The sequence below is a fragment of the Homo sapiens genome, chromosome 12 (genome assembly GCF_000001405.40).
Source record: "Homo sapiens chromosome 12, GRCh38.p14 Primary Assembly".
Lineage (NCBI taxonomy): Eukaryota > Metazoa > Chordata > Mammalia > Primates > Hominidae > Homo > Homo sapiens.
This window is the reverse complement of record NC_000012.12, coordinates 107,528,811-107,556,474: the sequence shown is the minus strand read 5'-3', so window position 1 is coordinate 107,556,474 and position 27,664 is coordinate 107,528,811. Positions and strand designations below refer to the sequence as shown.

The 27,664-nt window shown below is 43.2% G+C and overlaps 1 protein-coding gene across 7 annotated transcripts in view, besides 1 other annotated feature; it reads right to left on the bottom strand.

Moving 5' to 3' along the window:
- The window catches only part of ABTB3 (ankyrin repeat and BTB domain containing 3), a 341,209-nt gene that overhangs the window by 103,168 nt on the left and 210,377 nt on the right, over nt 1-27,664 (bottom strand). For all 7 annotated transcript variants that reach the window (NM_001018072.2, NM_001347943.2, XM_047428301.1 and 4 more), the window contains exon 3: nt 12,336-12,540. In NM_001018072.2, coding sequence (NP_001018082.1) covers nt 12,336-12,540 — 205 coding nt within the window. The remainder of the gene's footprint in view (nt 1-12,335; nt 12,541-27,664) is intronic.
- Nucleotides 17,971-18,535: an enhancer, noted in NCBI's record as "H3K27ac-H3K4me1 hESC enhancer chr12:107931717-107932281 (GRCh37/hg19 assembly coordinates)". NCBI's record gives its function as "activates a minimal SCP1, AML or CMV promoter by ChIP-STARR-seq in primed H9 embryonic stem cells {active_cell/tissue: H9 hESC(primed)}" and the evidence as "EXISTENCE:reporter gene assay evidence [ECO:0000049][PMID:30033119]".

Genomic DNA, 27,664 nt, shown 5'->3' with positions numbered 1-27,664 from the left:
GCCTGGTGATAGCTATATGACCTGGGTAAGCTACATAACCTCTCTGAGCCTGAAGATCCTCATCAGCAAGACAGATAGGGCAATAGTGTGGTGGCTCATGCCTGTAATCCCAGCACTCTGGGAGGCTGAGGTGGGTGGATCACCTGAGGTTGGGAGTTGGAGACCAGCCTGACCAACATGGAAAAACCCTGTCTCTACTAAAAATACAAAAAATTAGCTAGGTGTGGTGGTGCATGCCTGTAATCCCAGCTACTTGGGAGACTGAGGTAGGAGAATTGCTTGAACCTGGGAGGCGGAGGTTGCGGTGAGCCGAGATCGCACCATTGCACTCCAGCCTGGCAACAAGAGCGAAACTCTGCCTCAAAAAAAAAAAAAAAAATTGATGCTGACAGACTCATAAGATTCTTGTGAGAATTCAATGAGCTAAGGCACTTAGAAGACAGCCTGACACATCATAAACACCTGGCAAAATGAGATGGTGATGATGATGATGGCTGCTTTAAGAAACTCAGCTCTAAGAGGATCAAAACACAGTCATGTGGCATATGTTTCAGTAGGTGAGTTGGTCCCTGGTCTCTACAATGAATCCTTCTCTGTTGCTTTGAGAGTGGGATTTTCAGTCTGTTTTTCTGGAAGGGGGATACTACCTGCATTGAGTCTCTAATTCAGGGATGTCCCATAGAAGTTTCTGTGATGATGGGAATGTCCTATGCTGTACAATACAGGAGCCACTGAGCCACATGCAGCTGTCAAGCATCTGAAATGAGGCGCATGGTATAGAGGAGTTTATTTAATTTGAATCAATTTAAACGTAAATAGCCACACACGGTTAGTGGTGACCATGCTGGACAGTGCAGCTCTGGTTCCTTAGTCTTTGTGTCATAGAAGTCAGATTTTTTTTCCGTTTTCCCATGAAATAAAGAGAAGCTGGTATTAGACCAAACTAGATTGATGTGGCAGCCAGTTTAGTTGGATTCCAAAAAGACCTGGACATTGAAATTAACAAGTGCAGCCTATCCATCTGATCAGACTAAACATGCACGTTGTGAGAGAGAGCTGTTTCTTAAACTTGAACCTCGTAGCTTGTCACCTGTGGTCAGAAACAATTTCTACCCCTCGGCTGAGAACTCCTTGGCAACCGAGTAGAAGCTGTTTGACAAGCCCTGGAGGCCAGAGGTGTTTAACAGCCCTGAAGTGGGTGAAGTTTGGGATTTGCCCTGATGCTGTCCCCAGGGAGGACACCTATCTAATCCTGCCTCACCTTTTCCTGGCACAGCTTGTCACTCATTTGCCATTCCTGAGCCATGTTAGAGGAGCTGGCTGCCTTGTTAGGCTAAGGATGATCATTAAATTGGGATGCTCGAAGCTATCACTTGGCAGCTGCTGCTCCAAAGCCTGAGAGTTCTGCAGGCTGGCCACGTCTGACCTTGGGGACCCACTCATTTCAGCAAACTGCAGAGGGATCCAGCCTCACATGAGGGAAGGGGAGTCGAGGCCCTGCAAGGCTCACTCCAGCCCCCAAAGTCTGAGGAATATTTATAAGCACCTATGACAGGCTAAGCTCTACCAGGGAGACAAAAGTCACTACAAAAGCTGATTTCTTGCCTTTAGGTAACTTAAAAATGGAGGTTGTTTTCGGTTAAGGAACAGAGATAAGACACATGCACAAAAAACAACTATACCTTGTTATTCACAGTGTTGTCCCTGAACCAGCAGCAACAGCCTCACCTGGGAGCTTGTTAGAAACAGAGACTCTCAGGCCCCACCCCAGTCCTAATGAATAGGATCTGCATTTTAAGAAGATCCCAGGTGATTCAAGTCATTAATGTTTGAGAGGCTCTGCTAGAATATATATCCAGGCCATAAACACCATGACAGTGAGAATAGTAACGGCTATTATCTATAAAAAGGCTAATGTGTGCTGAGTTTTAAGTGCTTTAAATATATTAACACAAAACTGCTTAATAACAGCCCTCTGAAGTAGATTCTATGATTATCTTCCATTTTACAGATAAGGAGACTGAGGCTCAGAGTGGTTAAGTAACTTATTTAAGGCCACACAGCTAATGAGTATTAGAGCTCTGAATATTCACCTAGGCATTCTGGCTCTAGAATAAAAAAAAAAATCTAGAACTATTCTTCCTAATTGATGTATACATGTATTGAAATAGCACACTGTACCCCATAAGCATATCTAAATATTATTAATTAAAAATAAAAAATGTGCTATGACGATCCTTAGGTTCCAAATAACATGTTCCTACTAAGCAACAATTTAGGATCAAAGACTTAATGTTCTCATCTGCAGGTGAGACATAACCTACTTCACAAGGTTGATGTGGGGGTTAAATTAAACTCTGTATGTAAAGTGTCTCACACAGTACATGACACATAGTAGACGCTCATCAAATGTTCAGTACTCTCCGTTACCATCCCTTATGCTTCTACTGAGGTCTCAGACACAGTTCTGGTCTCTTACCTCCCTGCTCAGCATCCCTTTCTGAGTCTTCTGAATTCCTCTTCTCTCTCTCTCTCTCAAGACAGTCTTGCTCTGTCACTCAGGCTGGACTGCAGTGGCACAATCTTGGCTCACTGCTACCTCCACCTCCCGGGTTCAAGTGATTCTTGTGCCTCAGCCTCCCAAGTAGCTGGGACTACAGGCATGTGCCACGATGCCTACCTAATTTTTTGTATTTTTAGTAGAGATGGGGTTTTGCCATGTTGGCCAGGATGGTCTTGAATTCCTGCCCTCAAGTGATCTGCCTGCCTTGGCCTCCCAAAATGCTGGGATTACAGGTTTGAGCCACCACGCCCAGTCTCTTCTGAATTCTTCACTGCCTACAGGAGAACGTCCTGCCACCTTATCAAGTCTCTCAACCTTCCTTCCAGCTTGGTCTGGGGCTGCATCCAAAGCCTCTTCTGGACAAGGTCTCACTCTCTGTGCACTCACCTTCCTCCCCCGGTGGTGCATATTCTGTCCCCTTAGCATGTAGCTCCCTTCCCTATAGTCACCCAGCACTCATTTGACATTTGTGATACTTATAGAGTTGCCCCAATGTGCATGACCTTGGGCAACTTACATGACCGTGTTGCATCTCAGTTTCCTCATCTGTAAAATGGGAAGAGGTAAGGCTATCTGCTCCTGCCTCAAGGAGTATTGGGAGGACTGAATGAGTTAATACACATAAAGTATTTAGAGCAGGGCCTGCCACATTTGTAAGTGTTCATCAAAATCTCTTGCAATATCAAAGAAGAGATCAATCTGGATTAAGGGAGTAGAGAATAATCCCCACCATTCATGGATCACCCACCATGGTGTCAATGATCATGCATGACACTTATGTTAGTTAGTTCATTTGTCACTGAAACAACCCCATGAAGTATAAATTATTATTTCTTGTTCACAGCTGAAGAAACTGAAGCCTTGAGGTCACACAGCACTTGAATGCAAGAACCAGTACCAAAATGAGGACTGCCTGAGTTGATTCGGCAACATGGCTCTCTGGGCTGGAAGCAGGAACACCTAGGTTTCAGGCCCAGCTCTGTTCAGTTCTGCAAGTATTTATTGAGCACTTACTATATGCTATGCACTGATCATTTAGTACAATCTGAAGTGGTAGGGAAGGGTTTCTGGGGGTGATGCCTAAATTGGATCTTGAAGTATGAACTTAAGGAGGTAGCTAGAGGATGGCACAGAGGGAAGGAAGCATTTCAAGAGGGCAAAACATAAGTAAAGGCACGGAGGCACTGCCTTGCAAAGCCTCTAGAAATGTGCTCGTGACTCCATCCAAGTCCCTCATCACTCTGGGCTTCGATTTCATTAACTTTGGCATGAAAGAAGTGAACTTTCTCTGTTCTAAGATCTCTTTTGACTAAATTTCATGTCCAATGACAGAACAAACAAGTCATGCTTTTGAAGGCTATCCAATGGCACAAATCAACAAAAGTAGGTGTAGTATCTGGATCCTATATTGTGAAACAACCAAAAGCTGTTGTATGTACGCAGAAAACTAGACTAGAAGGAAATGCCTTATATAGTCATAGTGCTTATCGCTGGATACGGAGACTAGGAGTCATTCAAAGTTCCTTCTTTAGATTTTTTGGACTTGTCACATTTTATTTAATAAGTGTATTCATTTTATACCCTGCAAATACTAATGAAGATTATGAAAAAAATTATAGGGACTGGGGATGAGGCTTTCAAACTTTATTTCTTTAAAACCACTGCCTATGGAAGCAAAACAGACTAATGGCTAGGAGCCCAGACCAGGGCTTGACTCCAAAGGTTCAAGTATTCCTTCTCCAACTTCAGGTATGGCCTTGGGCAAGAAATCAACTTCAGTTAGGTTAATATAACTGGGGCAAAAACTACTCTGATTTTAAAAATTTAATTCTCACTGATTTTTCTGAAAAGGAAGATTATGGCTGGGCACGGTGGCTCACGCCTGTAATCCCAGCACTTTGGGAGAACGAGGAAGGCGGATCACCCGAGGTCAGGAGTTTGAGACCAGCCTGACCAACATGGTGAAACCCCATCTCTACTAAAAATACAAAATTAGCCGGGCATGGTGGTGCATGCCTGTAATCCCAGCTACTCGGGAGGCTGAGGCACGAGAATCACTTGAACCCGGGAGGTGGAGGTTGCAGTGAGCAGAGATTGTGCCATTGCACTCCAGCCTGGGCAATAAGAGTGAAACTCTGTCTCAAAAAAAAAAAAAAGAAGATTATAACCCACATTAGAGGTCAGCAAACTTCTTCTGGGAAGGGCCAAATACTATTTTCAGCTTTCTGGACCCTAAAGTCTCTGTCATAACTAACCAACTCTGTCACAGTGCAAAAGCAGCCATAAATAATATGTAAACAAATGAGTGTGGTTGTATTCCAATAAAACTTTATTTGTAAAAACAGACAGTGGGCCAGATTTATCAGCAGGGTGTTGTTAGCTAACCTTTAGCACATTGATGTAATGGCCCACTCATGGGCTGTAACCTGCAGTCTGAAACATAGTGGAGCTACAGCAGTTTTTACCATGGCCAGAGGAAATAAATTGCCACAATGCTCAAGTTACAAATGGATCATGTTTCAAAACTTTGCTTTTTGGGTCAATAATTTAGAATTCAACATGTATTTTTTTTTCTCCTTAGGAATCATTTATATGGTGGTTGAGATTCCAGGTCTACAGAAAACAGATCTAATATCTCATCTTCTCGCTCTAGCATGTCCCCATTCATCCAGCAACTCTGAGTTTCTCCAGAGCCATTAGCCCTGGGCTGGGCATTGTAGGGGACTGCAAAATGAGCCAGATGTGATTGCTCCCTCAGGAAGATAAGGAAGTAGCATTCTTCCTCTGAGAATAGACCTTCTGAATCCCTGCTTAGGATACCAGGAATGGCTCTCCTCTCTCCTTCTTGCTATTGAGGCTTCCAGGGTGTTAGACCAAGGAGTCCTTACATTGGGGTGGTATTTTTGTTCTCAACTGTGATGTGTAAGCCAGTCAGTTGTGACTTGTGTGACTAATAATGGTCATAAGTGCTGGCCTGTGCAAATGATTCACTTGTGGGTTATTTATTTTTTTAAAAGTAAATTAGCAGAGGCTGGGTGCGGTGGCTCACACCTGTAATCCCAGCACTTTGGGAGGCCGAGACAGGCGGATCACTTGAGGTCAGGAGTTTGAGACCAGTCTAGCCAAAATGGTGAAACCCTGTCTCTACTAAAAATACAAAAAAATTAGTTGGGCATGATAGCATGCACCTGTAGTCCCAGCTATTTGGGAAGCCGAGGCGGGAGAATCGCTTGAACCTGGAAGGCGGAGGTTGCAGTGAGCCGAAATCACGCCACTGCACTCCAACCTGGGTGACAGATTGAGACTCTGTCTCAAAAAAAAAAAAAAAGAAAGAAAGAAAGAAAGAAAATTAGAAGAATATAGTGGATTTTGTCAGTTTTTTGTTGTTGTTGTTGTTTTTCATTTTTTTTTTTTTTTAGCTTCCCAGAACCACCGATGATGTTACTGTGTTCAGAGAATTTTCCATATTACGAGTCCATAATTCTACCAGGTAGAAATTCACCTTCCCAGACTCCCTTGTTAGGGTCCAGGCAGGTCCTGTGACATGTGGGGTACATGGAGCTGATATGGGTGGTGAGAGAGACACTCAGCCTTTAGGGGAAACAATGACAGGTCCTGTTGGAGTGTTCAATGGCCAGCATCAGTGGTGTGAGGTCCAGTGTCTGTGCCTAGTACTAGTGGCTGTGAGATCTCTGCTAGAGCAGTCTTGGGGTGCAATCCCAGGTTATGTAGCCTGGTTATATAGCCTCAAAGCCTGGCCCTCTGGCTTCAATGCCCACCAGAAGTCTTATTAGGATCTACTAAACACTTAGATTCATGGGACTATCATAGGCTACCTGGGCCCAGCAGGACAGTATCAGATATTCTTTCAGTGGGAGCCCTTGTAGCAGTTCGCCCAGTCATCAGGAACTTATCTCCTGTCCAGGTGACATGCAGGTGCAAGGAGCTGAGATCTACATGGGTGATTGTGCAAGGTGCCCTGCCCTGTTTTACAAGCCCCAATATCTCTTGTAACAACTCCATAGCAATAGCTTCCAAGGCCTCTTCAAAAGACACAGCTAGTTACGAGAGTCAATAAATTAAGGGAAGTCCAAAGCTCTGGGTCTTTATCAATATTTCTGGTACCTCCAGGCCAGATGTAATTTGTCAATCTGGGATCATTCTGGCCATAAGCAATGTTTCCCAGAAACATAAGGGTTGACACTGCAATTTTTATAAGGTTTCCTCCAGGGGAACAGAGCTAGAGAGTTAATTCAAGGTCAAATTTTCATGCAGAAGGGGAAAAGATTTGTTAATCTTCTACCCATACTGGGCCTCCCAGAGGTTTTCTTCCTGCTTTAAGCAGTCATGAGAGGTTCAGCTTTTGCAACTAAGTATCCTGACTGGTAGTGCTGCTTGTATCAAGGATACCTCTACTCACTTGCATTCTGATTTACATTCCTTAGAGGAAAAGAACAGAGTAGAGCTATAACTAACATGCTGGACTTATTGCATAACTGCAGGTATGTCCATAGGAGTAAGTTGAAGTTTGAATCTCACTTGTCACATACATCACAGAGATAAAAAATGTTAAGATGTAATGTGTTGGGGTGAGCTTTTGGTAGAGTGAGTATCATGGAACATGTATTTGGTTGTCATTCACTGCTAATGTCTGTTATGTCTGTTTTATTAACTCTGTTTCTTCAAGTGTAAATTCTTCCATTTGTTAAGATTATTTTGTTTCACATTATTAGTTTTCCTCAAACAGTTGGTGATTGGTGATTGTATACTCATGTTTATAGTTGAGATTCCCCTGGCAGACATTTCCCTGATATAAATGTCTGTACATTCCGTTTGCAAAAGTAACAAGAGCTACCACTACCTAGGAATAAATTCTGGTTTGTTTTCAGTGAGACTGGAAGAGGGCAGAACTACTTAATTGTCTAGTTTTCCAAGTGAAGCTGCTCACAGTTACCCTAGGCATTACCAGCTAGCTACCTGAGGCAACAAAATACTCCCATTTATCCTACTATTTTTTTCATCTTGTGGTAATAAATTACTAAAATCATCCATGGCCAAAGACATGTAGGAATCACGGATATTTCCGGTAATGATACAGGTGAGAGAAACCTTATTCTAGATTTAGGATGATTCTTTTTGAAAACAGTACCCTCACATGGCCCCTCCCATCAAAATTAAGGTGTTTTCATTTATCATTACTATTTGGAAAATAAATATCACCTAATCGTAAATATTATAAAATTTGTCTGAGTTTTGTAAAATAAAAATATCTGAGGTAACTGAATGATTTTAGAAGCTCAAGAAATAGTAGCCAAAGTTCTGGAAAAACTTAGACTACAGAAATCTCACACTGGCACTAAGCTTCTTCAAAATTCCACAATGAAAAACGAAACTATCCAAAACAAATGCAGCAACTCCAAAGCTGTGCCCACATGAAATGGTAAAATGGTGCATGCAGGCCTACTTCCAAATACCTCAGCCAAGAAAGGCTGTTCTGACAAGAAAGGATGGTTTGAGGCATAAAATAATCCATATTTCACCAATATTTCCCAGGCCGTCTGTTGGGCACAGATGAAAACAAATAATATTCAGCCCCTGTTCTTGAAGAGCTTATAGTCTAGAGGAAAACCATATAAGCATCATGGCCCTACCTGACTTTGTCAGAATAATGATAGTCAAGGAGATGATCCTGTTTGATAGAATTGCAGGATAAAAAGAACACAGGAGAGAGGAGAGAAAGAAATAACTCCAAATTAGAGTCCTAACTTCTATTGGAAATTCTCTTTTGGAGGCTTTGGTACAGAGCTGGTGTGAATAAACACTTGACTGAAAACAGAGGCCCCCTTGCCTCTGAAGTTCTTCCACATGTGTTTTCCAGTGCTAAACACTAAAACCTGTTCCATCAGGGAGCCGGAAGAAATAACGATCCCTCTAGAAAGAATCACAGGCAGGTTTCTTTAAGGACAATGAAAACAGCATTTTAGAGCCCAAAAAGTATAATATGAGTGACTGCTTTAGGGAGGAAGGGGGCTCCCCTTGTGCCAGGCATGGCACTGGATGTCTTAGCTACAATGTCTAATTCATTGCTCACATCAGTCTCATGAGGATGGTTGTGTTCTCACCTTACGAAGGACAAATGGAAGTTCAAAGAGGTGAAATAACAGAGCTACAAGAAGCCGAGCTGGGATTCAAATTTAAAGGACTATATGACTTCCAATCCACATGCTTCCCAGAGGATCACACTGAACAGAATCTGGAAAACTCTAAGTTCCACTTTGTGTTTTGTGCTGACTCTTGAAAATTCAACCAAAGAGGCATGGAAAGAATGAGATAAATGGCTCTGACAAATTCTGGGACATGTTCTCTTTGCTCTCCTTCCCTGCTCGTGCCTCTTTAAAACTTGTCCCAGAAGGTTTGGAAGCATTAGAAGGTCCTTTTTGACTTCCAGCCACTCCAACTACACTCTGAGTCCAGAAGGAGATTCAAGAGGGAAAATGGACACTGTGTAATAGAAAGTATAATGGGAGCTGGGCAACTGTGCTGAGCAGGAGCAGGGAGGATGTCACATGGCGAGACTTCCATTTTAGAAGTTTCAGCCTGGTAGCTGTGAGGAAGATGGAGCTCATCAGAGGGTTGTGGTTGTTGTTGTTCTTCTTCTTCCTCTTCCTCTTCTTCCTCCCCCTCCCCCTCCCCCTTCTCCTTCTTCTCCTTCTTCTTCAAGACAGGGTCTTACTTTGTGACCCAGGTTGGAGTGCAGTGGTGCAATCTCAGCTCACTGCAGCCTCGACCTCCCAGGCTCAAGCAATCCTCCTGCTTCAGCCCCCTAAGTAGCTGGGACTACAGGCAAGCACCACCACACCCAGCTAATTTTTGTACTTTTCATAGAGATGGGGTCTTGCCATGTTGCCCAGGCTGGTCTGGAACTCCTGAGCTCAAGTCATCCACCCGCCTTGGCCTACCAAAGTGCTGGGATTACAAGTGTGAGCCACTGTGCCCAGCCTTGGTCAGAGGATTTTTAAATTTTTAAATTTAATTTAAATTTATTTTGAGATGGAATCTCACTCTGTCACCTAGGCTGGAGTGCAGTAGCCTGATCTTGGCTCACTGCTACCTCCGCCTCCTGGGTTCAAGCGATTCTCCTGCCTCAGCATCCTGAGTAGCTAAGACTACAGGTGTGTGCCACCACACCTGGCTGATTTTTTGTATTTTTAGTAGAGATGGGGTTTCACCATGTTGGCCAGGCTGGTCTCAAACTCCTGACCTCAGGTGATCCACCTGCCTCAGCCTCCCAAGGTCAGAAGACTATTAAAGCTCACATGCAAGGATACCGTGTAGACATCAAAAGTAGAAACTGAAGTAGAAAAGATGGGGTCCTGAGCCATGCAGTGGCAGTGGTCTAGCAGGGAAGGAATAAAGAAATCTCACGATGCAGCCTCAGTAAGACCTGCTGACCAGCTGGAGATGGTGAGGGAGAGGAAGGAGTGCTAGTCAAGTCTCAGTTTTCTGACTGGGGTGACCAGGCCAATGGTGGTAACATTCTTAGAGCCTGGGGAGAAAGGAGGAACAGTGGGTTTTGGGGGAGAGATGATGGCTTTAGTTTTGAGGTAGTTTGAGCTCTCCAGATGGAAATGTCCCATAGGAACTTAGATCAATAGGTTTGCTCATTCTTTCATTCTACAAATATTTGTGGACCTCCTACTCTGCTCCAGATGTTGAGTTTGGCATCAACTGAGGAGTGATGGCCAAAACAGATGTGTTCTCTGCCTTCATGAAGCTTTACAGGCAATAAATAAACACAGAAATACACACATAGTTACAAATTACGTTAAGTATGAGGCAGAAAAGAATAAGATGCTAGGAGAAGAAGAATCAGCCTGCAAGTATGAGACTTGACAGTGGAAACTGAAAGTCGGCTGAGTGAGATGAAAAGGTTCTGGAGCTCAGAGGAGGCCGTGTCTAGCTGCAGCGGGGAGACGGACTCATCTGCATGGAGGTGGGAGCAGGAGATGACATGAGGGAGCTGAGCCAGAGAAACTGCACGGCTGGACAGGCTGTTGGGGCTAGGAGTGAAGAGCTAGACACTCCATAGGCTGAGGCCAGTAGTTTCCATTCTCTCAACTCTTAGCATTTGTACCCAGAGACAGCAAAGTTTTGGTGTGTCTGAAAGATTATTTTTTGGCCATGGGCATTTTACCACCTCTCCATTTGGGGCATGTTTGCACGTGAAAATATGCACAACGTACTGACTGATTTGTTGTGGATGGTGGGAGACCTGAGTAATTTAATGAGTTAATTTCCTGAATAAGTTAATTCCAGACTGGATTGAAATATTGATGTTGAGTTGGGATTCTTAAATAAAAAGAAGAAGTAGCCTGGCATGATTGCTCACCCTGTAATCCCAGCACTTTGAGGGATGAGGCAGGAGGATTGCTTGAGCCCAGGGTTTGGGACCAGCCTGGGGAACATGGTGAAACCCTGTCTCTACAAAAAAAATGCAAAAATTAGCTGGGTGTGGTGGGGCATGACTGTAGTCCCAGCTACTTGAGGGGGGCTGAGGAATGAGAATCGCTTGAGCCGGGAGGCAGAGGTTGCAGTGAGCAGAGATCATGCCACTGCACTCTACCTAGCCTGGGTGACAGAGTGAGATCCTGTCTCAAAAAAAAAGAAAAAGAAAAAGAAAAAAAGAAACAGCAACCTCCGTATAGCCTATGTTCCATCTTTTTCCCTTAACTGAAAGCCAAGAGACATGGTTTTGTAAGACAGCCCAATTCAGCCCCAATCCATCTGGCAGAAGCAGAGCATCCAATGAGCTTTCCAAAACCACTTGGCACCAAGTAACAGAAAGGAAAACTGTAGGAGCCCAAGTTGGGAGTTGTTCAGCTATATGCAGATCATATCTACAACAACAATAATAAAAGTTAACATTTATTGAGCACCTACTATGTGCTGGGCACTGTTCAATTTATTAAATTTTCAAACATCCCTATGTAGAATTTACTCTTTGTATCCCTATTTTGCAGATGCCTTTCCCAAGGATCCCCAGCTTTTAATTAGAAAAGCCTGGATTTGAACCTAGGCAGTCAGGATCACAGAGCCTGCTCTCTTAACCTCTCTTTTTGATAAATGGGTCACACCTACAGTACTCAGAGTGAATGAGTCTGTATGGAGGAGGGACCTGATTCGTGAGACACTGTGGGGAGAGGATCTATTAATCCGTCGCTAAAGGAAGTGGGGAGGCAGACAGGAGGCCTCCAGGCAGCCTCCGGGTCCTCTCCCAGTTCCTTCCTTCCCCATGAGGATTTGGCTTCAAAGAACAGTCACACTGCCTCTCCCTGGGCAATCAAGCCCCTTGCCCACCTGAGAGGCCCACTTCTGGCTGAGTAGGTGCTTCTGGTTATCCCGGGCCCTGGGGCAGCCAGGATGAAAGAAGATGAAGATAACTCCCACGAGAGGTGGTGGCATCCTCCAAGACTGCCTTCATGAGGACACCACCCATCACTGCAGAGGCCCTTACCCTCTGGAATTTGCAGACCCACTTATCTGACATAGGCCAGTTTTATCCTAAACAGAACCAGCCCTATAAAAACCCATTTCAAGGACCCCCACACGGGTCTAAGATATCCCCTCAGGGTGCAAGGTTCCCACCGGGACCACTCTGGCAAGTTTTAGGAAGTGAGTCCTTTCTACCCCCATCATCCTCCCCATCCTGGACACTTGCCCCACCCTGGAGGCAGTACCCACCCACCACAAGGCAAGGCAAGGCAGTTCTTACCTTTCCACCTGGAGGTTGACTTTGGAAGGCTCCACGTTGGGGTTTTCCCATTCCATTTGTGGGCAGTGCATGAAATAGCAAAGGGTGTACAGGGCCTCGGGCTCCCAGTACAGTGCCCCCTGCTTGTGGTGCAGGGGGGTGCCATTGCCGTGGTGCTTGGCATTGAGGGGCTGCAGGTGATGCATTGCACGGGACACCAGGTCACCTGTGGACAGAAGGAAGATTTCAGATCCTCCAGGAAGCCAACATTGGCAGAGAAACTGTACCTGAAGATCTCTGTGGAGACCCTGGTCCTTGCAGTCCCTTATTTAAATAAAGTGGTTCAATGGGACCTTGAAGTCACTCACCAAGCAGAGAGGAATGGATTCATTCATTCAGCATAGGAGGGCTTACTGAATCTGGGGTGCGTTTCAAGCACAGAGGGCGGCTAAGATCATTTTAATCCTGCCCTTCTGGAACCCAATGTTTCTAACAAGGCTCAGGAAGCCCTTTGCGTCCCGTTCCTGCATACTGCCTCCCTCGCCCTGTGACACACCCTCTATGTTGTGGCCAACACTGCTTTAACTGTAGTCACAAGAATGGGCTATGCTCTCTATTGCCCCTGAGCCTTGTACATATGCTATTCCCTCTGTCCAGAACATTCTCTCCCTCTTCTTCTCCAGGCTAACTCCTACTGATCATCCAGGTATCTGCTTATAAATTAATTCCTCTAGGAAACCCCCTCTAGAACCACCCTGCCCTTACTTGGGTTATCACACTGTACTTTTCGTGTTTTTTTTCCTTTTTTTTTTTTTTTTTTTTGAGATGGAGTCTTGCTCTGTTGCCCAGGCTGGAGTGCAGTGGCATGATCTCCACTCACTGCAACTTCTGCCTTCCGGGTTCAATCGATTCTCCTGCCTCCTCAGCCTCTTGAGTAGCTGGGACTACAGGTGCCTGCCACCACAACCGGTTAATTTTCGTAATTTTAGTAGAGATGAGTTTTCACCATGTTGGCCAGGCTGCTCTTGGACTCCTAACCTCAGGTGATCTGCCTGCCTCTGCCTCCCAAAGTGCTGGGATTACAGGCATAAGCCACCACGCTCTGCCCTATAAAAGTAAATTTGATGACAACAAAACAGTGTACAGTTCACCCTTGAACAATGCAGGCTGGAACTACTTGGATCCACTTATACATGGATTTTCTTCCACCTCTGCCACCCATCATACAACAAGACCAACTCCTCCTTTTCCTTCTCCTCCTGGGCCTACTCAACATGAAGATGACAAGGATGATGACCTTTATGATGATCTGCTTCCACTTAATGAATAGTAAGTACATTTTCTCTTCCTTATGGTTTCCTTAATAATTTTTTCTTTTCTCAAGCTTACTTATGGTAAGAATATCATATATAAGAATATAACATAAAATACACGTTAATGGACTGTTTATGTTACCAGTAAGGCTTCTGGTCAACAGTGGGATATTAGTAGTAAGCTTTTGGGGAGTCAAAAGTTACACAGAGATTTTTGACTGCATAGGGGTTCAGTGCCCCTAAGTCCCAGATTGTTCAAGGATCAAATGTAATTAATTTCTAGCTGAATTCTGGCCCCGTTTTCCTTTTTATACGTAACAGGTGTTACAGAAGTGTTAGGGGCTGATATCAAATGGAGCCTTTCTTTTTAAAGTAATTAAGATTCAAATGAATGTAAAAGAATCACTCTATAATCAATATTATTTAATGCACTTGCCCTGTCCTACTTACGATCATCTCATGCACACCAGAATATGTTGCGTACTTTGGGAGACAGCCGCCTAAGATATCTGTGATGGTTAATTTTTTTTTTTTTTGAGACAGAGTTTCGCTCTGTTGCCTAGACTGGAGTGCAGTGGTGCGATCTCGGCTCACTGCAACCCCTGCCTCCCGGGTTCAAGCAATTCTCCTGCCTCAGCCTCCTGAGTAGCTGGGATTACAGGCATGCACCACCACTCCCAGCTAATTTTTTTGTATTTTTAGTAGAGATGGGGTTTCACCATGTTGGCCAGGCTGGCCTCGAACTCCAGACCGCAGGTGATCCGCCCGCCTTGGCCTCCCAAAGTACTGGGATTACAGGTGTGACCCACCGCGCCTGGCCAGTGATGGTTAATTTTATGTGTCAACTTGGCCAGGCTATGGTGCCCAGTTGTTTGATCAAACACTAGTCTAGATGTTGCTATAAAGAAGGTTTTTTTTTTTTCTTTCCAACTTTTATTTTAGGTTCGGGGGTACACATACAGGTTTGTAACATGAGTAAATTGCATGTCGCAGGAGTGTGGTGTACAGATTATTTTGTCACCAGGTAAACAGCATAGTACCCAACAGGTAGTTTTTCAGTCTTCATGCCCCCTCATCCCCTACCCTCAGGTAGGCCCTAGTGTCTATTGTTCCCTTATGAAGGTATTTTTTAGATGTGATTAACATTTAAATCAATAGACTTTGAGAAAAGCAGATTACCTCCCACAGTGTGGGTGAGCCTCATCAATTAATTGAAGGCTTTAAGAGAAAAGACTGAAGTTCTCCGAAGAGGAAAGCATTCCGTCTCCAGACTGCAACAACTTTTACTAGAATCTCCAGCCTGCTGGCCTGCACTGCAAAATTTTGGACTTGCCAGCTCCCACAATCACATGAGCCAATTCCTTAAAATAAATGACTTTCTCAGTCTATCTCGCTACAGAGAAAGAGAGAGAGAGAGAAATCCTGTTGGTTCTGTTTTTCTGGAGAATGCTGACTAATACGATATCTGACATGATGCTAGCCCCTGTTGGGGCTCCCCCATTCCCTCTCATTGTCCAGCTGAAACCAGTCCTTTAGATCTCACCCCTTCTCCACCATCCTGCTGTACCTTTCAACGTGACACATTTACCTAACATCCAAATTCGAGTAAGTGAGGCAAAGTGAGAGGCAGGAGTTTCTCCTCCGAAGGCTTAGGACTCATCTCCTGGCTTCCTGTTTCCTGTCTGAGGGAGGGGCCACTACTTCAAAAGATGACTGACAAGAGGACTGTTCACCAGCTTTAGGGGGGTTGATTATGGGAATGAGGTTCACAGAGCTCTTGATTGATTGATTGATTATAGATGCAGCCCTAAAGTCCTTCTCAAGACAAGATTCCAAGCAGCTACTATTTCTTTTTCTTTTTTAAGAGACACTCTCTCACCCAGGCTGGAGTGCAGCAGGGTGATCATAGCTCACTGCAGCCTGGGCTCAAGCGATCCTCCCACTTAAGCCTCCCAAGTAGCTGGAACTACAGTCACAAGCCACCATGCCCGGCTATTTATTAATTTTTATTTTTTTAATTTTTTGTAGTGGAGATGGAGTCTTGCTTTCATACCCAGCCTGGTCTCGAACTTCTGGCCTCAAGTGATCCTCCTGCCTCAGCCTCCCAAAGTACTGGGATTATATGAGTGAGCCACAGCACCCAGCCACAAGCAGCCCCTATTTCTAATAGGAGTTGTCGAAATAAAGGAAAGCTCTATGTTATCTAAGTCCTAAGGCTTCGTCAGGACAGCCTAACTAGACTACGATCCACTGAGCTCAGTGCCTGGCCAACAGATCAGGGCCTTGTGCAGATGGCAGCAAGGGGTATGATGGTTAATTTTAGGAGTCGACTTGACTGGATTAAAGGACACCTAGATAGCCGGTAATGCATTATTTCTGGGTGTGTCTGTGAGAGTATTTTCAGAAGAGACTGGCATTTGAATCAGTGGGCTGAGTGAGGAAGACCTGTCCTCACCCAGTGTGGGCAGGCACCATCCAAGTGGCCGAGGCCTGGATAGAACAAAAAGGCACAGGAAAGGTAAATTTTCTCTTTCTCTCTCTTCTGGAGCTGGAACACTCTTCTTCTCTTGCCCTTCCACCTCCTGCCATATGAGGATATGGCAACAAGCCACCATCTTGGAGGCAGAGAGAACCAGACCACCTGACCTTGACCTGGCTGGCATCTTGATCTTGAACTTCCCAGCCTCCAGAACTATAAGAAAATACATTTCTGTTCTTTATAAATCCTCCAGTCTCAGGAGTTTTGTTAGAGCAGCACAAATAGACTAACGCAGGGGGTTATATCCCTACATCTCTCTGCATCTTCACATACCCAGCCCTGAGCCTGCCTCTCCACTCTCCATTTCCCACAGCTGGAAAATTCATCCAAGAAATTTTTAAAAGCATCAAGGAAGGACATTCTCTTTTAGAGGCAGATCACAGGGAAGACATAAGGGCAGCTGCAGATGGAAAACGTGGGGAACTACTGCTGAAAGTTAAGCAGGGATCAGAGGAAAGAGTTCAAATCTCAGCTCCAGCCTGTGTAAACACAGGCGAGTCACTTAACCTCTCAGGTGAGGAATAATCTTCACCTCTCAGGTGGTTATGAGGGTTAAGTGCAAAATGTGTAAATGCCTGGCATACTTGGCATTGAATAAGCAGTTCTCCTGGGCTCATGGGCTGCCTGCTCTTCCTCCTTTCTGAGTGGTGAGACCAGGATGCTGGGTACATGGGACAGAGAGGGGTAGTCCTGCCAGCATTCTGAACGCTGAGCACCTGATTTGCTGCTTCATGCTGGGGTTGACTTTTTTAGGACTCTACACTGCAAAGCTGCTCATTCCTGGGGTCCCTTTGGGGTGCACTGAGATCCTTAGCTGCTACTGCTTCCTTTTTCTCTCCATTCTCATGTTTTAGAGATTGCACTCCCTGGGAGGAAGAAAAAAAAAGGAAGCTAAGCTGGGTGCCTGCCTCCGGGCATTCACATCACTTTAGCCTAGTAAGGGGAAGCTCCAACCACTGGTCAGAATAAGAGCTCCCAATCAGTGAAAGTTGGGAAGGGACCTAGAAGAAAACTCAAAGATAGAGGCCTGGGGTGGGATCGGGCACTGAGACAATGTTTTTAATTTTCCAGTGAGGACAGTGACCTGGAGTAGAGGAAGAAGAGACAGCAGAGGTAGAAGCCCCAATATGCTGAGCACCTACCATGTCTCCGGGCATTTAGACACGTTTTCTATTTGATTTATATAAGAGCCACACAAGGTGAGCATTATTATATCAATTTCAGAGATGGGAAAATTGAGGGAGGAGGCAACTGGCCCAGGTGTCACTCAGCAAGTGGCAGGCTGTGACTCCAACCTGGAGTTGGACACACAATGTGGGCTTGTGTTCTTTGTCACTATGACACAGTGCCTCCAAAAAGGCACAAATCTAGAACCCAGTTTTGAGTGTGGCCCTTAAAAAGTCTGACGAAGAGTCTGAGGCTCAAATCCCAAACATCTCCCAAAGTCTGTGCCGTCACAGACTCCAGAGTGGGGCCCACTTTGTGGGGTGGGGGCTCAGGAATTTGGTTGGCCTCTGCTGATGGAGCAGAGCTTCCAGCCTGGGGTTCTCAGAGTCTACCCCATTGGTGTCTGTCTGGAGGACAGCGGGGTGGCTGATGGTCAACCTGCATAAATGACCAAGGAGGCTGTAAGAAATAAATCACCAAGCAGGAAGAGCCTGGAGGGGTAGAAGAAGCAACTCAACAACAACGGAGGCCTGGAAGGAAGCTGGTGCTGAAATCAACAGAATCCTGGTCTCTCTGATCAGACTTCCTGCCTGGCCCCTGGCAGAGCTCAAAGAGCTGCTCCCTGAAAGCTATGAAAAGTTGGAGGAGCCCAGACAGCTGAGCTCTGGGATCACCAGAGGAGGCTAAGGTGGATGACAGCAAACCAACAGCTAGTGCTTCCTGTGTGCAGGATAATTCTTAGCACTTTAGACCTGTTACACCCATTTAAGTGCCACATGACCCAATGGGGCTGGTCCTGCTAGCATATGCATCTCACAAATGAGGAAAGTGAGGCACAGAGAACTAATAAGACTGAAATTACACTGCCACTGAGTCCAATAACTGGCCTGGAAGCTGCTGCCATCTGGCTCTCCCCCACACCACGCTGCCCTGTGAAGGCAGGGGTCTTCATGCCCTGGGGGCAGCACAGCCTCCGGAGATCCCAAGCTGCTTCTGCATCCCTAGGGTTTTGGCAGAACAGGTCAGCACCCCTTCCACTGGCATCTGTTGGTAGTGGCATTCTCGGTGGGCATAGAGTGGGGAAGAGCTGCATAGACCATGGAGGCAGGGTTGATGGCAGTAGCTTTGGAAAGGCCTGGAGACTTCCCAGTCGTGCCCTTGGCTGGGAGGTCAGAGTCTTCCAAGGCAGCCCCAGCCATAGGCTCATGCAGGCTCACAGGAGGCCAAGGCCGCAGGCTGTGGGCAGCCCTAAGCTGGGCCACAGCCTGGCAGGAAGTGGTGGCTACACATCAGATGCCACCTGGGGACTCTGAAAAACTGCGGGACGAACTTGCAGAGGCTGGAATTCCTGTGAATCTGCATTTGGAGGGCAGAGTCTGAGAAGCTCTGAGGTTGGCCAGATCTGAGGTAGACTTGGCCTCCACTGTCCCCAAAGAGAAGTAGTTTGAAGGGTGTGGGCTGCCCAGTAACTGAGCCATGTTGACACTCACTGTCCTCTGGGAGGAAGGCTGTGCTGCAGACAGCCTGGAGTGAGCAAGGGAGGGTGGAGGAAAAGCCAAGGGGGAAGGCTGCCATCAGGAAGACCTGAGAAGCAATTCTATTTCTTTTTTTTTCCTTTTCAGTTGACACATAAGAATTGCACATATTTATGGGGTACACAGTGATATTTTGATACATGTATATAATGTATGATGATCAAATCAGGGTAATTACCATATCCATCACCTCAAACATTTATCATGTCTTTGTGCTTGGAACATTCAAAATCCTCTCTTCTAGCTTTCTGAACTTATACATTATTGTTAACTATATTCACCCTACAGTGGAATAGAACATTAGAACTTGGTTCTTGATTTGGCTGTAAGTTTGTATCCATAACCAACCTCTTCCTATCCTCTAATCCCCGCTACTCTTCCAGGCTTCTAATGTCTATAATGTTAGTCTCTACTTCTATGGGCTCAATTTTTTTTTTTAAGATTCCATATACAAAGAAGATCATGTGGTATTTATCTTTCTGTGCCTGACTTATTTTATTTAATATATTGTTCTCCAGTTTCATCCATGTCGCCATAAATGACAGGATTTCATTTTTAATGGCTGAGTGGTATTCCATTGTATAAATATACACATTTTCTTTATCCATTCATCTGTTGATGAATTCATCATAGGTTGATCCACATCTTGGTTTTATAAATAGTGTTACAATAAACATGAGGGTGCAGACATGTCTTGGATATACTAATTTTCTTTCCTTTGGATAAATGCCCAGTAGTGGAATTGTTGGATCATATGGCAGTTCTATTTTTAGTTTTTGGAGGATCCTCCACACTGTTCTTCATAATGACTGTACTAATTTACATTCCCACTAATAGTGTGTGAGGATTCCCTTTGCTCTACGTCCTTGCCAGTATTTGTTATTTTTTCTTTTTGATAACAGCCACTCTAACTGGGGTGAGATATCTCAGTGTGGTTTTGATTTGCATTTCCTCGATGATTACTGATGTTAAGCACTTAAAAATATACTTGTTGGCTACTTGTATGTCTTCTTTTGAGAAATGTCTATTTAGATCTTTTGCACACTTTAAAATCAGATTTTTTTTTCTCTTTGAGGTTGAGTTCCTTGTCTATTACGGACATTAGTCCTTTGTCAGGTGAATAGTTTGCAACTATTTTCTCCCACTCCATAGGCTGTCTCTTCAATTTGTTAATTGTTTCCTTTGATGCACAGAAGCTTTTTCATTTGATATAGGCTCATTTATCTATTTTTGGTTTTGTTGCCTGTACTTTTGAAGTCTTACCTCTAAAATCTTTGCCTAGACCAATGTCCTGAAGCATTTCCCCTATGTTTTCTTCTAGGATTTTTACATTTCAGGCCTTGCATTTAAGTCTTTAATCCATTTTGAGTTGATTTTTGTATATGGTGAGAGATAGGGATCTGGTTTCATTCTTCTGGATATGGATATCCAGTTTCCCCAGCACCACTTATTGAAAAGAGTGTCCTTTCCCTAATATATGTTCTTGGTGCCTTTGTTGAAAATCAGTTGGCTGGAAATATGGATTTATTTCTGGGTTCTCTATTCTGTTCCATTGGTCTATGTGTCTGTTTTTATACCAATACCATGCTGTTTTGGTTATTATTGCTTAGTATACTTTGAAGTCAAGTAGTATGATGCCTCCTCTTTTTGCTTAGGATTGTTTTGGCTATTTAGGGTTTTTTGTATTTCCATATAAACCTTAAGGTGTTTTTTTCGATTTCTTTGAAGAATGTCATTGGTGTTTTGATAAGGATTGCACTGACTGTAGATTTCTTGGGTAGGATGGTAATTTTCCAATATTAATTATTCCAATCCATAAGCATGGAATGTCTTTCCATTTTCTGTGTTCAATTCTTTCATCAGTGTTTTGTAGTTTTCATTGTAGAGATCTTTCACTTCATTGGTTAAATTTATCCCTAGGCAATTTTTTTGTAGCTATTGTAAATGGGATTGCTTTCTTGGTTTGTTTTTCAACTAGTTTGTTATTGGCATATAGAAACACTACTGATTTTTGTATGTTGATTTGGTATGCTGCAACTTTACTGAATTTGTTACTCAGTTCTAACAGTTTTTTGGTGGACTCTTTAGATTTTTCTAAATATAAGATCATGCCATTTGCAAAGAGGGACCATTTTACTTCCTGTTTTTTGATGTGGATGCCATTTCTTTCTCTTGCTTAATTGCTTGTTAGGGCTTCCAGTACAATTTGAATAAGAGTGGTGAAAGTGGGCATCCTTGTTCCATTTCTTAGGGCAAAGGCTTTCAGCTTTTCCCCATTAAATATAATGTTAGCTGTGGGTGTGTCATATATGGCCTTCACTGTGTTGAGGTTTTTTCCTTCTATGCCTAATTTGTTGAGAGTTTAGGGATGTTGAATTTGTCACATGCATTTTCTGCCTCTATTGAGATACTCACGTGGTTTTTGTTCTTTACCCTGCTGATGTGATGTGTGTGTTTATTGATTTGTATATGCTGAATTTCCTTGCATTTCTAGGATTAATCCAACCAGATTACGATGTATTATGTTTCTGATGTGCTGCTGAATTTGCTTTGCTAGTATTTTGTTGGGATTTTTGCATTTATGTTCACTGAGGATATTGATCTATAATTTTCTTTTTTGTTGTGATTTTGTCTGGTTTTAGTATTAGGATAATATTGGCATTGTAGAATGAGTTAGGAAGAATTCCCTTCTCTTCAAGTTTTTTTGGAATAGTTCGAGAAAAATTGGTGTTAATTCTTCTTTAAAAGTTTGGTAGAATTCAGCAGTAAAGCCATCCAGTCCTGGGCTTTTCTTTGTTAGGAGAATGTTTATTACTGAGTCAGTCTCATTACTTGTTATTGTTATGTTCAGGTTTTCTATTTATTCATGGTCCAATCTTGGTAGGTGGTAGGTGTCCAGGAATTTATCCATTTCCTCTAGGCTTTCCAATCTGTTGGTGTATAGTTATTCATAATAGTCTCTAATGATCCTTTGTATTTCTGTCGTATCAGTTGTAATGCCTCCTTTTTTGTCCCTGATTTTATTTATTTGGGACTTCTCTGTTTATTTCTTAGTCTAGCTAAAGGTTTGTCAATTTTGTTTATCTTTTCAAAAAACTTTTTATTTCATTGATCCTTTGTATTGTTTTTTAGTCTCTATTTCATTTATTTCTGCTCTGATCTTTATTATTTCTTTCCTTCCCCTAATTTTGGGTTTGCTTTCTTCTTGCTTTTCTAGTTCCTTAAGGTGCATTGTTAGGCAGTTCATTAAAAATCTTTCTACTTATTTTGATGTAGGTGTTTATTGCTATAAACTTTTCTCTTAGCACTGCTTTTGTGTATACTATAGATCTTGGTATGTTATGTTTCCATTTTTATTTGTGTCAAGGAATTTCTTAAATTTTTTTTTTTTTTTTAAGAGACAGGGTATTGCTATGTTACCCAGGCTGGAACGAAGTGGCTATTCACAGTTGTGACCATAGAACACTATAGCCTCAAAGCCCTTGGCTCTGGTGATCCTCCTGCCTCAGCCTCCTGAGTAGCTGGAGCTACAGATGCATGTCACTGTGGCTGGCTCTTTAATTTCTTTTTAAATTTCTTCATTGACCCATTGGTCATTTAGAAGCATGTTGTTTAGTGTCCATGTATTTCCAAAGTTCCTCGTTATTGACTTCTAGTTTTATTCCTTTGTGGTCTGAAAAGATACTTGATATGATTTCAGTTTTTAAAAATTTGTCAAGACTTGCTTTGTGACCTAACATATGGTCTAAACTGGAGAATATTCCATGTGTTGTTGAGAAAAATGTGTATTCTATGGCTGTTGGGTAAAATGTTGTATAATGTCTGTTAAATCCATTTGGCTTAAAGTGCAGTTTAACTCTGATGTTTCTTTGTTGATTTTTCTGTCTGGATGATCTGTCCATTACTGAAAGTGGGCTGTTGAAGTCCCCTACTATTATTGTATTGCAGTAAATCTCTCCCTTTAGCTAATAATGTTTGTTTTATATATCTGGGTGCTCTGGTGTTGGGTACATATATATTTAAAACTGTTATATTCTCTTGCTAAAAGGAGTCCTTTATGATTATATAATGACCTTCTTTGTCTCTTTTTATGTTTTTTTGACTTAAAGTCTATTTTTGTCTGAAATAAATATAGCTACTGTTGTATGCTTTTGGTTTCTGTTTGTGTAGAACATCTTTTTCCATTCCTTCACTTTCAGTCTATGTGAGTCTCTACAGGTGAAGTGAGTTTCCTGTGGGCAGCACCTAGCTGGGTCTTACTTTTTTATTCTTTCAGCCAGTCTATACCTTTTAATTGGAGAATTTAAACTATTTACATTCAAGGTTGTTATTGATAGGTGAAAACTTATTCCTGTCATTTTGTTAATTGTTTTCTGATTGTTTTGTATATTGTATATAATATTGTATATATTTCTTCCTCTCTTATTCTTTAGCTTTGCAGTTTGGTAGTTTTCTGTAGTAATAATGTTTGATTCATCTCTGTTTCTCATTTGTGTATTTGCTCTATCAGTGAGTTTTATACATTCATGTGTTTTTTTTCAGGGTAGATATTGTCCTTTTACTTTCAGATGTAGGGCTCCCTTAAGCATTTCTTGTAGGGCAGGCATAGAGGTGGTAAATTCCCTCAGTTTTTGGTTGTCCTGGGAAGACTATTTCTCCTTCATTTCTAAAAGATAGCATTGCTGGATATAGTCTTCTTGGCTGGCAGGATTTTTTTTTATTCCTTTCAGCACTTTGAATATATCATCCCATTCTTTCCTGGCCTATAAGGTTTCTGCTGAGAAATCTGTTTCTAGTTTGATGGGAATTCCCTTATATGTAGCTGGATGCTTTTCTCTTGCTGTTTTAAATTTTTTCTGTGTCTTTGACATTTGACAGTTTGACTATAATGTGCCCCAGAGGGGACCTTTTTGGGTTTAATCTATTTGGAGATCTTTGAGCTATCTTATCTGAATGTCACCTATATCACTCACAGGACTTTTGAAGTTTTCAGCTATTATTTTATTAAATAGGTTTCCTATGCAGGTGCTTTTTCTAATTTTATGGAGTAGCTTTTGCAAGGAAAGACTTTTTGCTGTAGATGTATCTATAGTGTTAGTCGGGTAGGGTTCTTTGGCTTTGATTCCAGGTGGGCGCAGCAGTGTAGCCTTTGTATGATTTCTTCCACTGTAGTCAATGTCAGCAGTGTCTGCATGTTCCTCACTAGCTTAGACTGTAGTTGTTTGTGATGGATGTGGTATGGTTTTGCTGGGGACAAGGATGCTGGATGGGCCAGTCCTTGGGCTCCTGGATGGTGCAAAATGGTGCATGGTGGTCCCACCACTGAAGTGGCAGGTTCACTGGACAGCAGTGGCAGTGGGCCCTGGTTGGGTCTGTCCTGGGGCCCCTGCATGGCACACATGGGTGCTGGTGATTGCAGACCCTGGGTGAGCTGATCCTCAGGCTCTTGGGTGCTGTGTTTGGGTACTGATGCTGGTGGTCTTGTCTTTAGGTCCCTGAGTGATGTGTGGGACCACTGGAGGGGGCAAGTTTGCTATTGGTGGTGGCCCTGGGGCAGGAAGCTTTCAGGTACTGGGGAGTGTGTGCTTTGGCTTCCTATGTCCTGGAGGCAGACTCCCTGATGTGCAAGACCGCCTGTTCCCCATGGTGTAGGGCACTGACTGGGCTTAGGTGCTGAGGATGTGGCTGCATTGCTGGGTCCAGCTGATGTTGCAATGCTGCAGACTTCTGAGTGGATGTGGGAGATGTTAGCTGAGTCCCAAGGGTGTGGAGATGCAGGGGCTACTGGGACCCAGGGCAGGATGTAGTCTAGTAATGACTACTCTCAAAATGGTGCTATGCCGCAGCAGCTTGGTTTTGCAGGAGTGGGGAGCAGGGAGGGACTATCCAAGAGTGAATCCCCTCTCTGGAATAATGCAGTTTCCTGGACTCCAGGCATCTCCCTATGCTAGGCTTGGGTCCTGTGAGGGCTGAGGGGTTTTCCTGTAACTAGCATTGCAGGTGTTCCATTTCTAAATAGCAGGCCACTCTCTGACCACTGGATTGAGAGGAACGGAGACATTGCTGGATGATTGGCCAAAGAATCAAAGAACCAGAGGCTCCTAGAGTAGGACTGGCCTTCGAGCTAATCCAGTCTGTCTTCTCCAGAGTCCTTCTGTAGCATCCAGCAGTGAGAAACTATTATTACCACTATTACTAATAACAATAGTAAAAGCTGTATCGGACGCTGTGAAAGTACTTAATATACATTGTATTTAATCCTAACAGTGCTCTATAAGGTATGTATTAATATCATTTCAATTTTGCAGCAGTAATCCTCCACTGGGTTGCTTTTGCCTCCCAGGGAACATTTGGCAGTTTCTGGACACATTTTGATTGTCACATCCAGGGGGCTGCTAGTGGCATCTAGAGGTTAGAGATACTGCTAAACATGCTGCAATGCACAGGACAGTTCTCACAACAAATAATTTAGTCCAAAATGACAACAGTGCCAAAGTTAAGGAACAATGCTTTGCAGATAAGAAAACAGGCCCAAGGTTACAGGGTTAATAAGAGGCAGGCAAGATTCCAACCTAGGTCTGTCTGACTCTAAGGTCTGCGCTCTTCATTCCAAATGATCGGAGTCCCTCTTTCAAAGGCAGCCCAATGAAGCCTTGGCCAGCTCTCAGTCCATCTTGAAGCAATTTAGCATTATGTAGCAAAGGTACTAACAACTACTCATAACTCCTGACTCAGTAATTCCATTTCTGGGAATCTGTCCCAATGTTTGAATTCAAAATGTAGCAAAATCTTCATGCACAAGGATTTGCACCCAAACCTTACATATGGGATCCAAAATTTGACAAACAAGTGTTTAAAAATAAAAAACATGATTAAATAAACTCTAGTACATCCACATGATAAAATAATAAACTTTTGCAGCCGTTAAAGATGATTACATAGAACTGCAATACCAAAAAAAGAATCCTCATATTAAAATGTTAAGTAGAAAAGAGCAAAATTCAAAATTGCATACAGTATAATCAGGATTATGTTATTAAAAACTATGTACTAAGTAAATACCAGGGAGAAAAAAACCCCAAAGTGTTGACCAAGGACTTTTCTCCCTAGTGGGATTATCAGTGACATTCTGTCCAAGTTTTCTGTAATTTCTGAACTTTGAATTATGGCATGTGCTACTTGTATTACCAGAATAATAAGCTTACTGAGGTGGCATTTACTTTCTTGCACCTTCCATCTAGGTTGAGGGTGGAAGACGCTTATCTTTCCCTCTGTCTCTCTCAAAAACTTCCATTAAAAAGCTCAAAACAAGAAGATTCAAAAGGAAGTGGAGAAGAGAAGAGAATCATTTGGAGCCCCTACTCCACTCATTCATTTCCCCAAGGCACTGGGAAGCCTGACGGTCAGGTACCCTTTGCCTTGGTTGAGCTAACCATCTCACCATCTCCTCAGAGCACCTTTCAGCTTGCCCTGCATTTCCCGGTTCCCTTCTTCTGTTCTTGTTTTCCCACCTTTGATTGCCCTTTTCTTCATTCTCCTAACAATTGAAGACCTTCAAGGCTATGACCAAATGCTATTTCTTCCATGAAGCCCTCCAGGATGTCCCTGGTCAGAATCAAGTCCCTCTTTTCTCTATATACCTGCAAAGCCTGCTTATAAAGTCTAACACATTACATGTTTAATTCTGTTGCATTTCACAGTAAATTATCCACACATCTACTTTCCCTACTGAGTTTCAAAAGCAGAGACCATGCCTCATCCATTGTCCTGTTCCGGGAAGGGGAGGCAGTGTGGCATGTGGTTAGGAACAGCTCTTCAGACTCAGACTGAGAGCCTCCAACCGGCTACTAACTAGATGAGTGACCTTAAGTGAGTTATTTGATGTCTCTGTAAGTGAGAATGATTATGACCTAATGAATTTGTTGTGTGGATTAAACAAATAATATATATAAAGTACTTAACCTTCATTTCATCTGCAAAATTAGGACAATAATAGTACCTACCTCATAGTATTAAATGAAGAAATGCATATAAAGCATTTAAAGCACTTGGAACAGAGTCTGGTATATTGTAAGCACTTAATAAGAATTCAGTACTATTATTCTTTGTATCACTACCATCACCATCTTCATCTTCATCACCATCCCCATCACCATCATCATTGCCATCATGTACATCATCATGATTATCGTCTCTGTCATCATCACCATCATCATCACCATCACTGTCACATCATCACCATCACCATCATCATCACCATCATCTCCATCATTATCGCCATCACCATCATCTCCATCATCATCATCACCATCACCATCATCATCACCATCACCATCATCATCAACATGACCACCATCATCATCTCCATCATTATCACCATCACCATCATCATCTCCATCATCATCATCACCATCACCATCATCATCACCATCACCATCATCACTACCATCATCTCCGTCATTATCGCCATCACCATCATCTCCATCATAATCATCACCGTCACCATCATCATCACCATCACCACCACCTCCATTACATCACTATCACCATCATCATCTCCATCATCATCATCACCATCACCATTATCATCACCACCATCATCTCAGACATCACCATCATCATCACCAAAATCATCTCTGTCACCATCACCATCACTACCATCATCATCTCCATCATCATCACTATCACCATAATCATCATTATCACCATCACCATCATCATCTCCATCATCATCACTATCACCATAATCATCATCATCACCATCACCATCATCATCACCATGACCACCGTCATCAT